The following is a 13,578-nucleotide window of genomic DNA, read 5'->3' on the forward strand; positions in this document are numbered from 1 at the left end:
GAAGACTCCACTGTACACTTGTGAGAGCACAAGAGAGAAAATGACAAGTTCCTAATGTGATGAAAATGATTTTCAACCCCCTCGACCACACTTTGAGAACCCCTGGAAAAACGAATAGTAAGATGATGTCCGTACCATGTGTATTCCAGCGCCTGTAACACAGTAAGGGCTCAATATGTAAAGCTCCTTATTTTTATTTTATTTTATTTTATTTTATTTTATTTTATTTATTTATTTTGAGACAGAGTCTCTCTCTGTCACCCAGACTGGAGTGCAGTGACCCCATCACGGCTCACTGCAGCCTTGACCTCTTGGGCTCAAGTGATCCTCCCACCTCAGCCTCCCAAGTAGCTGGAATCACAAGTGCATGCCAAAATGCCCAGCTAATTTTTAAATTTTTGTAGAGACGGGGGTCTTACCATGTTGACCAGACTGGTCTCGAACTCTTGGGCTCAAAGTTACCCTCCCTCCTTAGCCTCCCAAAGTGTTGAGATTACAGGTGTAATCTCAACGCTAGCCACCGCGCCTTGCCTAAAGCTCTTTTTTTAATGTATAATTTTAAGTGAAAAGAGCAGGAAGCACATAAAGATATAATCCCAATCCTGGATGAAAATAATCACTGAGTTCTTACTTTTTGCAAGGGACTCTGCATCTGCATTATCTCAGCTATTCTTCCCAACTCCATTTTATTTTCCCCATTTACAGATAAGGCCCAGAGAGGTTATATGGCTTACTGAAGACTAGCCAGCTAATGGTGGGGGAACTAGAATCCAAAACTGGGGAGGCTGGGTTCAGATGCCAGGCCCTTACCCCAGCAGTGGAAAGAAGGACAGATGTTACCCAGGGGATCTCTTGGGAGGAGGGGGTTCCCCTGGTTTTCTCCCCACCCTTCCTTCATCTGCAGCTCCAGCTGGTCAGGATGGGCTGGTACTGCTATTGGTATTTTCCAGATGTCCAAAGAGGTAAAGGGGCTGCCTGAGGTAGCAGCCAGCGTATGTCAGAGGGAAGAGGGCTGGGGCAAGCTGATGCCCAGGGGCCTCAGCCTGGAGGCCCAGCACTCCTCTGCTCAAGGTTCTGCACAGCCCTGTGGCTGCTTTGCCTACCCTGATGTTTCCTCTCACCCCTCCGGCTTTTGCTTCTCCTTGGGGGCAGAAGGTATGAAGGATGAAATTGCCTTGGGTTCACATCTTGCCCCCACCAACCCATGCCGCTAACTCACTCAGTCACTGTGTGACCTTGAACTAGTCAGTGAACTTCTCAGAGCCTCAGTTCCCTTAACTGCAAACAGGGATCCTAGCAGTACTGGCCCCGGCCATGATTAAGCAGTACCAAGGCACTGTGGGCACCTCTACCCCACTTTCAGCCCATTTACACTCCCTAGCATTTAGTCTTCCAGGGAGGTGCATAGATCAGGACTGCTCTGCATGCCTGCTGCACAGTGAGGATTGCCTGAGCCTGGGAGCTCACTCAGGACCTTTTTCCCCTTCCTCCGTACACAGGCGGGAAGTCCAGGAGTACATCCCAGCCCAGCTCTACCGTACAACGGCAGGCTCGACCTGGCTCAACCTGGTCAGCCAGCACCGGCAGCAGACACAGGCGCTCAGCCCCCACCAGGCCCGTGCCCAGTTTCTGGGTAAGAGCTGCAGGGCAGGGGAGGTGATCATAGGGGGCTTTGCTGAGGAGGGTGGTCATGGAGGATGGGTATGGAGGCACCTCTTTCTTTGCACAAAGGCATTTTTCAGTGCCAGTCAAGCTGAGCACCTGCCTGGAGAAAACATGTCTTTACATTATGGAGATGTCACCTAGGCTCAAAGTGGCCCTGGGCAGAGGAAGAAGAGCTGCAAGCAGGGATAGAGGAAGAGGCCATGAGAAGGGAGGCCAGAGAGATGGGAGGAGACCCAGACCAAGGGCTTCTGCACTGGCTGGACACAGCCCAGAGAAGCTATGCAGTTCAGGGCCATGGCTGTTGTCAGTGAGCCCTGCCCAGCACGTAACTGCCACCCCCTCTCCCTGCCCAGGCCTCCTCAGCGCCTTACCTATGTTCGGCTCCTCCTTCTTCTTCATCCAGAGCTGCAGCAACATTGCTGTGCCAGCCCCTTGCATCCTTGCCATCAACCACAATGGCCTCAACTTTCTCAGCACAGAGACTCATGTGAGTGGCCTCAGCCTGGCACTGCCATCGCCACCCTCTGTTCCCTGGTCCCCAACCCCCTCCAAGAGGCCAAGACCTCCAGCCGCCGAAGCCCAGTTCCACTGCTTACCACCTTCATGATCTCAGGCAAGTCTCTTCCCTCCTCTGAGCCTTGCTTTCCTCATCTGGAAAATGAGGATAAGAGTTGAGCCCCACCCATAGGGCTGTTGTGAAGGTGAGATGAGGTAAAACATACTCTATGCACTCAAATAGTACATCTGTGTGCTTAGGCTGCCATAATAAAAGACCACAGACTGAGTAACTTAAACAACAGAAGTTTATTTCTCACAATTCTGGAGGCTGGCGGTCCAAGGTCAAGGTGTCAGCAGGTTTGGTTTCTTTGGTGGTTTGCAGACAGCTGTCCTCACTGTGTCCTCACATGGCCTTTCCTCTGTGTGCGCACAACCCTGGTATCTCTGTGTATCCAAATTTCCTCTTATAAGGACATCTGTCATATTGGAGTAGGGCCCATCCTAACAGCTTCATTTTAACTTAGTAACCTCTTTAAAGGCCTTATTTCTAAATACATTCTGAGGCACTGGGAGTTAGGATTTCAACATGGGAATTTGGTGGGGGACATAATTCAGCCCATAATAAGTAGGACCTGTTACCCCCTTAGTTTTTGCTCCCAGAACTAGACCCTGCGACAGGGATTCCAGGGCAAGTGGTTGATTTAGAGTTGATTCCAGGAAACACTGGAGTGAGGAAGTGAGACAGGGAAGGGATGGAGCCAGTAGAGGGGGTGTTAGCAAGCAAGTTGCTGATGTGGGCACCTGGAGGTCAGTCCAGCTGGGGAGCCCTGAGAGACAGACTAGAGCTTTCCTTCTCTCCTGGGGGTGAGGGAGCTGGGGTGTCCATTCAACACTTCCCATCTGTCATTAGCAAGAGCTTCTTTCTGAGGCATTAACTCTCTATCACTCTGACTTTCCCTGTATGTGGTCCAAGTTTGCTTCCTGGGCCAGAAAACAAGCCCCTAGACAGGCTAGGTACTTGACTCACATCTGCAGTCCTAGCACTTAGGGAAGCAGAGGCAGGAGGATTCCTTGAGCCCAGGAGTTTTAAGACTGGCCTGGGCAACACAGGAGGCCCCATTTTCCACAAAAAGGAAATTTAAAAAAGAGGTGGAGGTGTTCACAAGAAGCAACTTTGATGTGAAGTTCAGGGCACCAATACCTCTCTATCCCAAGCACTTAGAGCACTTAGAACAGTGCCTGGTACATGATAGATGCATCATCTCATCAGTATTTGTTGAATCAATTTTATAGGTGAGGAAACTGAGGTCCAGAGAGGTAAAGTGATTTGCTCAAGGTCACGCAAGTCACTGGGGAACTGGTACTTGAACTGGAGTGAGTCTCCTGCCTCCTACAGATCTGATTTGCAGGGCAGGGGTAAGAGTGGTTGAGACTATCCTCGCCCACAGGCCTGTCCGGCCCCTCTCCTCCTACTCCCAGGAATTGATGGTGAAGTTCCCCCTGAAGGAGATCCAGTCGACGCGGACCCAGCGGCCCACGGCCAACTCCAGCTACCCCTATGTGGAGATTGCGCTGGGGGACGTGGCGGCCCAGCGCACCTTGCAGCTGCAGCTGGAGCAGGTGGGCCCAGCGCTAAGTCCAACATTCCACTCACTGGGCCCTTCTCTGGGCCTGGCTCCAAGATAGGTCAGGTCCCTGCCATGCCCCAGGGAGTATCCAGGCCAGTGCATGGGACAGAACCAACCACAGCACAGCACGGAACTGCAGATCATTATGGGTGGCCATCCAGGGAAGCAACTTGGCAGTGGGAACACAGGAAAGGGCAGTACGGAGCCATAGAAGGTTGATGAGAGGGCAAGGACACTAGAGGTTTGAGAAAGTTCACCTGGGCTGAGATGTGGAGGCTGGATTGTAGGCCCCAGGATTGAGGGTGGAGAAACTGGGCTTCCTGTGTGACAGATGGTGAAACTGAGACCCACCTGCCCTGTGCCTTCCTATGTTTGTAGCAACTGTGGCTGTTACTTAAAAGGCAGGGGTGAAACAGGCACCGTGGCTCATGCCTGTAATCCCAGCACTTTGGAAGGCTGAGGCAAGGCAAGAGGATCACTTGAGCCCAGAAGTTTGAGACCAGGCAACATAGTGAGACCTAGTCTCTGCAAAAATAAAAAAAAAAGTGCCTGTAGTCCTAGCTATTCAGGAGGCTGAGGCGGGAGGATTGCTTGAGCCCAGGTGTTGGAGTTCGAGGCTGCAGTGAGCTGTGATGGTGCCAATGCACTCCAGCCTGGGTGACAAAGTGAGACCCCATCTCTAAAATAAAATGTAAAAAAGCATGGATGACCTCTAGACTCCTGTCCAAGTCTCACACCCCCCTGGGGTCAGGGCAGGACTAGCGTTTTCACCCCACTGAAGAGATAGGATTCAGGCCCAGAGAAGATGCAGAATTGAGGTTGACACCCACACGTCTGCCCTGTCCAGCCTGTAACATCCCCCCTCCAGGTCTGGGCCCAGCACCACTCCCATGACAGGGCCTGTCTTGGAGGGGGTGATTTCCCAGGGCAAGAGAGAGAGACTTCCACTGTCCTAGCTCTGCCTCTGAGGGACAGGACCAGACAAAGTCTCCTTGGCCCCCTGTGCCCCTTGGAGAGCCTGTTACTTGGGTCTAGGGTCCTAATGCACTCCTCACCACACCCCAATCTGCTCCTGCCTGGAGTCTGCTGCCTCCTTCCCAGAGGCCACCTCCCTGAGCCCCTGCAATGGCTCTGTGGTGTTCTCCTACCTCTTTTTTTTTTTTTTTTTCAGTAGAGACAGGGTCTTGCTATGTTGCCCAGACTAGTCTTAAACTCCTGGCCTCAAATGATCTTCCCACCTCAGTTTCCCAAAGTGCTGGGATTATAAGCGTGAGCCACTGCACCCAGCCTTCTCCAGCCTTCTTGTGTGAGCCTGGTCATTCCTTCTTTGGTTCTTTTCTGGTCTTTCCTCCTCTAGACTATCTTTTTTTTTTTTTTTTGAGGCAAAGTCTTGCTCTGTTGCCCAGTCTGGAGTGCAGTGGTGTGATCTCAGCTCACTGCAACCTCCACCTCCTGGGTTCAAGCGATAATCCCACCTCAGCCTCCCAAGTAGCTGGGACTGCAGGCGCATGCCACAATGCCTGGCTAATTTTTGTATTTTTAGCAGAGATAGGGTTTCACCATTTTGGCCAGGTTGTTCTTGAACTCCTGACCTCAAGTGATCCATCCACCTCAGCTTCCCAAAGTGTAGGGAGGGGCGTACATGTGTAAGCCACCACTCCTGGCCCCCTAGACAATCTCTAAACGTTGCTGAGTCTGGGTCTCTCCCCAGGGCACCCTGTCTGATACTGAGGCTTTCAAAACCATGTCTACCATCACAGCATCCATACTTCTACCTCCTGCCCAGACTACCTGAGCTCCAGGCTCCCTCAGCATCCCCCTTGGAGACCAACAGTCCTCTCCAGCTTTCCTCCCGATCCTCCCAGGCACTCAGGCCCCAAATCTGGGAGTCCTTCCCATCCCTGTCCCTTCCTCCCATGACCTTTGTGGCCTCCTCTCCCACCTCCCCCATCTCTGCTCATTCCTCCAGCCACCCTGGCTCCCTTGTGCTGAGCTTGTTCTCCCTGCCCTGGGCCCTCTGCCCTCACTGTCCTCTCCACCTGGAATGCTCTTCCTTGATCCATCACAGGGCCCATTCTCTCCCTTTATTTGGGTTTCAGCACAAATATCACCTTTTTCTAGAAGCTTTCCCTAACCTTCCTCCCTAAGAACTCACGATCCCTGCCCCCATAGCCCTACTTATGGCTTGGAAATCATTTAGTTATTTGTTTATGTATTGTCTCCTTATATTAGTCTGTTTTACGTTGCTATAAAGGAATATCCGAGGCTGCATAATTTACAAAGAAAAGAGGTTTATCTGGCTCACGGTTCTGCAGGCTGTGCAAGAAGCGTGGCACCAGCATCTGCTTGGCTTCTGTGGAGGCCTCACGAAGCTTTTACTCAAGGCAGGAGGCAAAGGGGAAGCAGGCACATCACGTGGCAAGAGAGGGAACAAGAGAGAGAGGGCCCAAACAGCCGTCTCTCGTGTGAACTATTAGAGTGAGGACTCACTCATTACCTTGGGTAACCAAGCCATTCATGAGGGATTTGCCTCCATGACCCAACACCTCCCACCAGGCCCTGTCTCCAACATTGGGGATCACATTTCTTCTCTTTTCTTTTTTTTACTTTTCTTTTTTTTTTTTTTTTTTTTTTTACTACAGTGTCTTGCTCTGTTGCCTAGGCTGGAGTAATCTCGGCTCACTACAACCTCTGCTTCCCCAGTTCAAGTGATTCTTCTGCCTCAGCCTCCCAAATACCGGGATTACAGGCATGTGCCACCATGCCCGGCTATTTTTTTGTATTTTAGTAGAGACGGGGTTTCACCATGTTGGCCAGGCTGGTCTCAAACTCCTGGCCTCAAGTGATCCACCCGCCTTGGCCTCCCAAAGTGCCGGAATTACAGGCATGAGCCACCATGCCTGGCTGGGCATCACATTTCAACACAAGATTTAGAAGGGACAAATATCCAAACTGTATCATTCCCCCATCAGAATGTCAGCTCCAAGAGAGCAGGACCGTATCCATCTTGTTCATGCTGTGTCCATAACTCAGCGCCTGGCACATAGTAGATGCTCCATACATATTTGTTGGTTGCATGGGTGGGTGGGTGGATAGATGGATGGATGAAGGCCTCTTTGCTTTTCCCACTTCCTTGCAGCACCACCTGACCTCCTTATGCTGCCCTCTCTGCCTCTGGCCTGTATGTGTCAGGGGCTACATTCATTCACTCATTCAGTATAGATCCACTGAGCATCTCTGTGTAGCAAAGATACTGAAGTGACTGAGACCCCCTCAGCTCTGGCCCTCACAGAGCCTCAGGTCTCAGATATAAAATATACCTTGATCAGTGCTGGGAGGGTATACAGGGGACCTGAGCTATCTGGGAGGTAATCAGGGAGAGCTTCCAGGAGGAGGTGATGTCTAAGTGCAGCAGTGTTGCACTAACAGACCTGGGTCCCTATCCTGCCTACCTTTGACAGGCTGTGTGAGGGGATCTTGAGGTGTCCCTGATTCTCACTGAGCCTCAGGTTCCACACTGTCAAATGCAGCAACAATCCCAGCAAGGCCTAGAACATGGCAGCATGTAGGTAGGTAAAGGATTGGCTGGAGGAGAAGACTCCATTTGCACACGCTGATTTAATTAGTCGAGGTGGCCCCCAAGGCAGGGCCAGCACAGCTAACCTCAACAGAGAGCACTTCAGAGTGTGATCCTCAAGCCTCTTACCATCCAGGTTCAAATCCCACCACCTACCAGTTGTGCAGTCTGGAGCTTCAAGGCTCGGTGCCTGTTTCCCCACCTGTGGAATGGGATATAATAGCTCCTGTCTCTTAGAGACACTGTGGGGATTAAAACAGGTAGGACACATCAGGCCTTTAGGACAAGGCCTGGCACACAGTTAACACTCAGAGTGCGCCTCTAACATGATTTTATCCTTTCTCAGAGCAGCTTCCCTGGGGGGATTCCAACAATGGCTTTCGTCTGAGAACCACATTCACAGATTGATTTCCGCAATTCCCTGATGCCTTCCCCTACCCTGCTCCAATTGGGAGCACTAAGCCTGGGTCACTGCCCATTGTGCACTGTGGGAGCCAGGCGGTAACCATGGCAACAGACAGTTAGAAACTGTTACCATTTATTGATTGGATTCATATTTTTTAAATCTAAAGAATTTACACGTGGCCGGGCGCGGTGGCTCATGCCTGTAATCCCAGCACTTTGGGAGGCCGAGGTGGGCAGATCATGAGGTCAAGAGATGGAGACCATCCTAGCCAACATGGTGAAACCCCGTCTCTACTAAAAATACAAAAATTAGCTGGGCGTGGTGGTGCATGCCTGTAGTCTCAGCTACTCGGGAGGCTGAGGCAGGAGAATCGCTTAAACCTGGGAGGCGGAGGTTGCAGTGAGCCGAGATCGCGCCATTGCACTCCAGCCTGGCGACAGAGCGAAACTCCATCTAGGAAAAAAAAAAAAAGAATTTACATGCAATAAAGCCTCACTGAATCCTCACCACAGCCCTGTCTGTGAGGCAGGCCCCTGGTCAATTGAGACCTTACAGATGAGGCCACTGAGGCTCAGAGAGGTGAAGCGATAGACCCTGGGTCACACAGCTCACACGGAGCAAAGCCGGAAGAGGCACTTGGTCTCCTGCTTGCTTACCCCTTGCAGCCCACACCCCACCATTCGGCCTTCCAGCTCTTCATGCTCCTCTCAGGCCCTGGGGGAGGTGGGGACAAGGGTCCCTGCATGAATGATGGTCTCCACCTATCTCCCAACCACCTCTCCATTCTGTACTTCCCACCCCAAGGTAAGAGCTGGGGAAGTGTTGGATGGGCGTGGACTGTCACTGTCACCTGCAGGGACTGGAACTGTGTCGTGTGGTGGCCGTGCACGTGGAGAACCTGCTCAGTGCCCATGAGAAGCGGCTCACATTGCCCCCCAGCGAGATCACCCTGCTCTGACCCAGCCCCCAGCCCTCCAGTACCTTCTGCCAGAAGACTCACTGTGTGGCCTCAGAGAAATCACTGAACCTCTCAGGATCAATGACCCCTGTAAGGGGCCAGAGCCTTGGAGGACACTAAGAGGAGGCAGGAGGAGCAACTCAAATCCCCAAGAACACAAGAAGACCCATCCTGAACTGGGATGGAATGGCAGCATGCAAACTTGGATCAGATAGCAGGAGGAACTTTCAAAAGTCTGGCCCACTGTGCAGTGGAGCAGAAGGCAGGACCATGAGGCCTCCTGCCATGTACCCATTGCAGACCCTGCCCCTAACTCCTGCCTATGACACAGAAGCCCCACACCAGTTGCCCAGATGAACTGGCCTCTGCCTTTGGTTTACTCAGGGTCTGATGTTGGAATCTGCTCCAACTCCACACCCTAGCCCTTACATGTCCTCCTAAGGGGCCCCTCCTTGTGCTGCCAGTCAGCCTGGATTTCTGGTCTTTGGTTATTTCTGTGCAAACAAAAGGTGTGCCTGGCAGCCATTTCTCCATGGAGTTGCTAAGTGGCCGGAAAACAAGCCTGAGGGAGGAGGCAGGAGTTGGAGTTACCTTAGGCCCCTGATTCACTGCCTATGAACAGACCATCCCCCACTCCTTGGGTATCCCCAACCCCAGACCCCCATCACTTGATGGGCCACACAAGTTTGAGAGTGGTACAAGGGAGAAGTTTGGGAAAAGCCTTCTTGGAAAATGGGACATTAGCATTGAGTTTTGAAAGATGAGTAGGAGTTTGCTAAGAATAGATGGAAGACAGCAGGATAAACATTCCAGAGAAAATCATGTTTATTCCCTGCTGTATCTTCCAGAACCTAGGAGGATGCCTAACAGAGAGTAAGCACTTAAAAAATATTTGTCATATGAATGAAAAAATAAACGAGTGAATGTTGATAGAAAGTGCTGGTGCTTTGGGGAGCTTGTGCGGGGCAGAGAACACTTGGGGAGACTAGATAGGTAGATGGGGGCATAGCTGCAAGATCCATGGCAGCAGAGAAAGGATTTATCTACTTATTCAGCCATTCAATAGCTATTAAATACCTACTGTGAATGAGGCAAATACCAGGCACTGGCAGTTAATCACAGTCAAATCACCGCAAACTAGGATAAGACCTGTGAGTGGGAGTTAGCTAGGGAAAGAGGAAAGAGAACAACATACGCAGGGGCCCTGAGGTGCGCATTACTTGTAGCAGGATCTGAGACTGAAGAGGCCGGCAAAGATGGTTTCGATAGGGCTTCTGGGCTACATTAAGAATTTAGGATTTCTGGGCCAGGCGCAGTGGCTCATGACTGTAATCCCGGCACTTTGGGAGGCTGAGGCAGGCGGATTGCCTGAGCTCAGCAGTTCGAGACTAGCCTGGGCAACACGGTGAAACCCCGTTTCTACTAAAATAAGAATAATATACAGGGGCAGCCTGCCCCTGTAATCCCAGCTACTCAGGAAGCTGAGGCAGGAGAATGGCTTGAACCTGGGAGGCAGAGGTTGCAGTGAGCCAAGATCATGCCACTGCACTCCAGCCTGGGTGACAGAGTGAGACTCCATCTCCAAAAAAAAAAAAAAAAAAAAAAAAGAATTTAGGATTTCTGGGCCGGGCATGGTGACTAACACTTGTAATCTCAGCACTTTGGGAGGCTGAGGCCAGTGGATCACTTGAGCTCAGGAGTTTGAGAGCAGTCTGACCAACATGGTGAAACCTCTCCTCTACTAAAAATACAAAAATTAGCCGGACATGGTGGCATGCACCTGTAATCCCAGCTACTCAGGAGGCTGAGGCACAAGAGTCACTTGCACCCAGGAGGCGGGGGTTGCAGTGTGTCGAGATCGCGACACTGTACTCCAGCCTGGGCGACAGAGCGAGACTCGGTCTCAAAAAAAAAAAAAATTTAGAATTTCATCCCAAGAGCCATGAGCAGCCTTCAAAGGTTTTCCAGAGGGGGAAGGGGAGGCACAACCTGCACAGACTGTACTTTGTTAAAGCCATTCTGACCACTGAACGGTGAGTGAATGTAGGAGTTGGGGAGACCAGAGGGGGCTGCTGCAGTGTTAGCTGGAAAACTTGTCATAGATTCTAGTGGTGGTGATGGGTGGGGAGAAGTTGGTAACTGGGGAGAGATTAGAAGGCCCAGCTGGCAGGACTAGGGGGTCAATCAGACCATCCTGGGATGGAGAGGATCAAGAAAGAGCCCCTGATACAAATGCCACAGGGCTGTCCTGCTTTTCACCACTGCCTTGGGTTGGCTTTCCCCAGAAGCAGACCCCAAGGTGAGGAAAGTAAGGAACTCACCAGAAAGAGTGTGGTGTCAATCAAGTTACCACTGTGCAGGGGCCATGCCTGGCAGCAGCTCACTTAACCCCTGGGGTTCTGCCTGCGGCGCTGATGCTCAGTATAGGGACCCCCAAAACAGAGCACAGTGGGCTCCAACATGAGGCAGCCCTGAGGCCTGCCCTCTGCCCCTCATTTCTCATTGTTGTGAGATCATACATGGTGTGTGTGAGGGGGAGGGGGTGTCAGGCTAATTCTTTTGCCCCAAAACCTTTTCCCTAGTCAAGCTGAACTATGAGGCTCAGGAAGGGATGATGTGGCAGAGTGAAAACGAGGGGGCCCTTTTGGCTTTCAGAATACAACTGGGGCCTCCCACACAGACTACAAGCGGCTTCTTGGAAGTAGATCATCCAGGTTGAGCCAAAATGTGAATCACCTCTTCTCTAGGTTGACACAGCCTCTCCCATAACGGACACTGCATTGGAAGCTTCCCTGTGTTCCTCCCTGACTGCTCTTGAGCTAGGACTCTCCCCTCTCGGAGCCCCGGTGAGGGACAGCACAGATTCTGGAACCAGGCAGCCTGGGTTTGAATCATCACTAGGCCACATACTCGCTGTATGGCCTTGGGCAAGTCATTTCACCTCTCTGGGCCTGTTTCCCTATATATACAATGGTAATAATAATAATGCCCTCCTCATTGAATTGTTTGGACGATTAATTGGGCTAGTATATGCACAGGTCCTGGCACATAGTAAAAACTTGATAAGCTTTTTAAAAAAATGTCCATTCCAGGCTGGGCGCAGTGGCTTACGCCTGTAATCCCAGCACTTTGGGAGGCCGAGGCAGGAGGATCTTGTGCCCAGTAGTTCCAAGACCAATTTGACAACATGGTGAAACCCCATCTCTGCTAAAAACAGAAAAATTAGCGGGGTGTGGTGGTACACGCCTCTACATAGTTCCAGCTACTCAGGAGGCTGAGGTGTGGGAGGATGTCTTGAACCCGGGAGGTCGAGATTGCAGTCAGCCAAGATCGTGCCACTGCACTTCAGCCTGGGCAACAGAGACTCTGTCAAAAAAGAACGAGGAGGAGGAGGGGAAGGGGGAGAGAGAGAGGGAGACGGGTGATAAGGAACTGGCATGGGCAACAGCCATGGCAAACAGCCTGGGCAAAGGCCAGGAGGTGAGACACAGTATGTTTGTAGACCTGGCTTACAGGATGAGGACCAGGCTGGGGCTCAGTGTACATGGAAAGAGAGGAGAGGAGGAGCCAAGGCCAGAAGAGTCTTGAAGAAAAGCTTTGAGTGCCAAATAAAGCAGGGGAACTTTATCCTGGGAGACATGGGAGATTTTCCAGCAGATCCCCCCCGACCCCCATTTGTTGGAGCCCTCCAGTGCATCCTGCACGGCTACGCCTTTTTGTTTTGTTTTGCAGCTCTGTCGCCCAGGCCGGAGTGCAGTGGCGCCAGCTCGGCTCTCTGCAGCCTCAATCCCCTGGGCTCAAGGGATCCTCCCACCTCAGCCTCCTGAGTAGCTAGGACCATAGGCGCGCGCCACCACGCCCAGTTCATTTTTAAAAATTTTATTGTAGAGATGGGGTTGCCATGTTGGCCAGGCTGGTCTCAAACTCCTGGGCTCAAGTGATCCGCCCGCCTTGGCCTCGCAAAGTGCTGGGATTACAGGCGTGAGGCCCCGCGCCCGGCAACGCCTTTGCTGACTGCTTCAAAACTTTTTTGAATTGACTGTAGTCATTATCTATAGCTTAGCCTTAGCCTTGCGCCCGTTCGTTTCCTGGAGTTTTCTTCCAGAGTCCCCGTAGGAGGTGCCCCCACGCCCATCTCCAGCACCAAGGAGGCTCGACGCCAACCCCAGCGCGCCCCCACGCTCGCCGTCACCGGGACGTGACTCGTGAAACGTCCGCTCCGGGCGGCGGCGGCAGCGGCGGCAGGCTGGCTTGTACCCCGACAACGCGCGTCTGGCTTCTGCCGGACGTTCCTATCTGGGTTCAGAACTGGGGCCGGGTGCTGCAGGTCCCGCAGTCTGAGAAGTTTTCGCGGGTTTCAGAAGTTTCCTTAGGCGTTCTAAGGGCTTTACTCAGGTGGAGTCTCCATTCAGGCACTTATTTAACCACCCATTTCTCCTTTAGGGGTCCTCGCTGCTCGCCCAGCCGCTAATTAAGTGACGGACACAGTAGCTAAGGAGACTGCCTGATTGACACGCATGATTACCAACCGACTTCCGGAAACTCCAGTCAGGGCCTGCCCGGCGCGTGGCCCACGGCCCAATTAAAGAAGTGGAAGCGCCAAAGGGGGAGGTAACGGAGCGGCCTACGTTGTGGCGGTTCCCTGGTGAATGCGCCCTGGGGTTGAGGCGTCTGCGGGCGTTCGGACGATGCCGTGACGCGGCACGGCGACACTGTTGGCAATATGAGCGCACCCCTGTAGAGGGAGCCCTTCGGTCCTGGAGGCGGCGCGGCGTGAAGACAGGTTGCTATTTGAGAGCGTTCCCTTGAAGCCCCTCAGAGAGTGGGGGAGGGGCGGCGGACGGCA

At 52.3% G+C, this 13,578-nt stretch overlaps 1 protein-coding gene across 3 annotated transcripts in view, besides 3 other annotated features; it reads left to right on the forward strand.

Moving 5' to 3' along the window:
- Positions 1-9,662, forward strand: part of MYO15A (myosin XVA) — a 71,045-nt gene extending 61,383 nt beyond the window's left edge. For all 3 annotated transcript variants that reach the window (NM_016239.4, XM_017024715.3, XM_017024714.3), the window contains 4 exons: positions 1,500-1,633; positions 2,019-2,152; positions 3,643-3,783; positions 8,631-9,662. In NM_016239.4, coding sequence (NP_057323.3) covers positions 1,500-1,633; positions 2,019-2,152; positions 3,643-3,783; positions 8,631-8,732 — 511 coding nt within the window. In that variant the 3' untranslated portion in view covers positions 8,733-9,662. The remainder of the gene's footprint in view (positions 1-1,499; positions 1,634-2,018; positions 2,153-3,642; positions 3,784-8,630) is intronic.
- Positions 11,357-11,651: a silencer, noted in NCBI's record as "tiled region #12190; HepG2 Repressive non-DNase unmatched - State 18:Pol2". NCBI's record gives its function as "represses a minimal TATA promoter and a strong SV40 promoter by Sharpr-MPRA in HepG2 cells {active_cell/tissue: HepG2}" and the evidence as "EXISTENCE:reporter gene assay evidence [ECO:0000049][PMID:27701403]".
- Positions 13,078-13,277: an enhancer, noted in NCBI's record as "active region_11829". NCBI's record gives its function as "activates an Ori minimal core promoter by ATAC-STARR-seq in GM12878 lymphoblastoid cells {active_cell/tissue: GM12878}" and the evidence as "EXISTENCE:reporter gene assay evidence [ECO:0000049][PMID:35858748]".
- Positions 13,338-13,577: an enhancer, noted in NCBI's record as "active region_11830". NCBI's record gives its function as "activates an Ori minimal core promoter by ATAC-STARR-seq in GM12878 lymphoblastoid cells {active_cell/tissue: GM12878}" and the evidence as "EXISTENCE:reporter gene assay evidence [ECO:0000049][PMID:35858748]".

This window comes from Homo sapiens, chromosome 17 (genome assembly GCF_000001405.40).
Source record: "Homo sapiens chromosome 17, GRCh38.p14 Primary Assembly".
Taxonomy (NCBI): domain Eukaryota; kingdom Metazoa; phylum Chordata; class Mammalia; order Primates; family Hominidae; genus Homo; species Homo sapiens.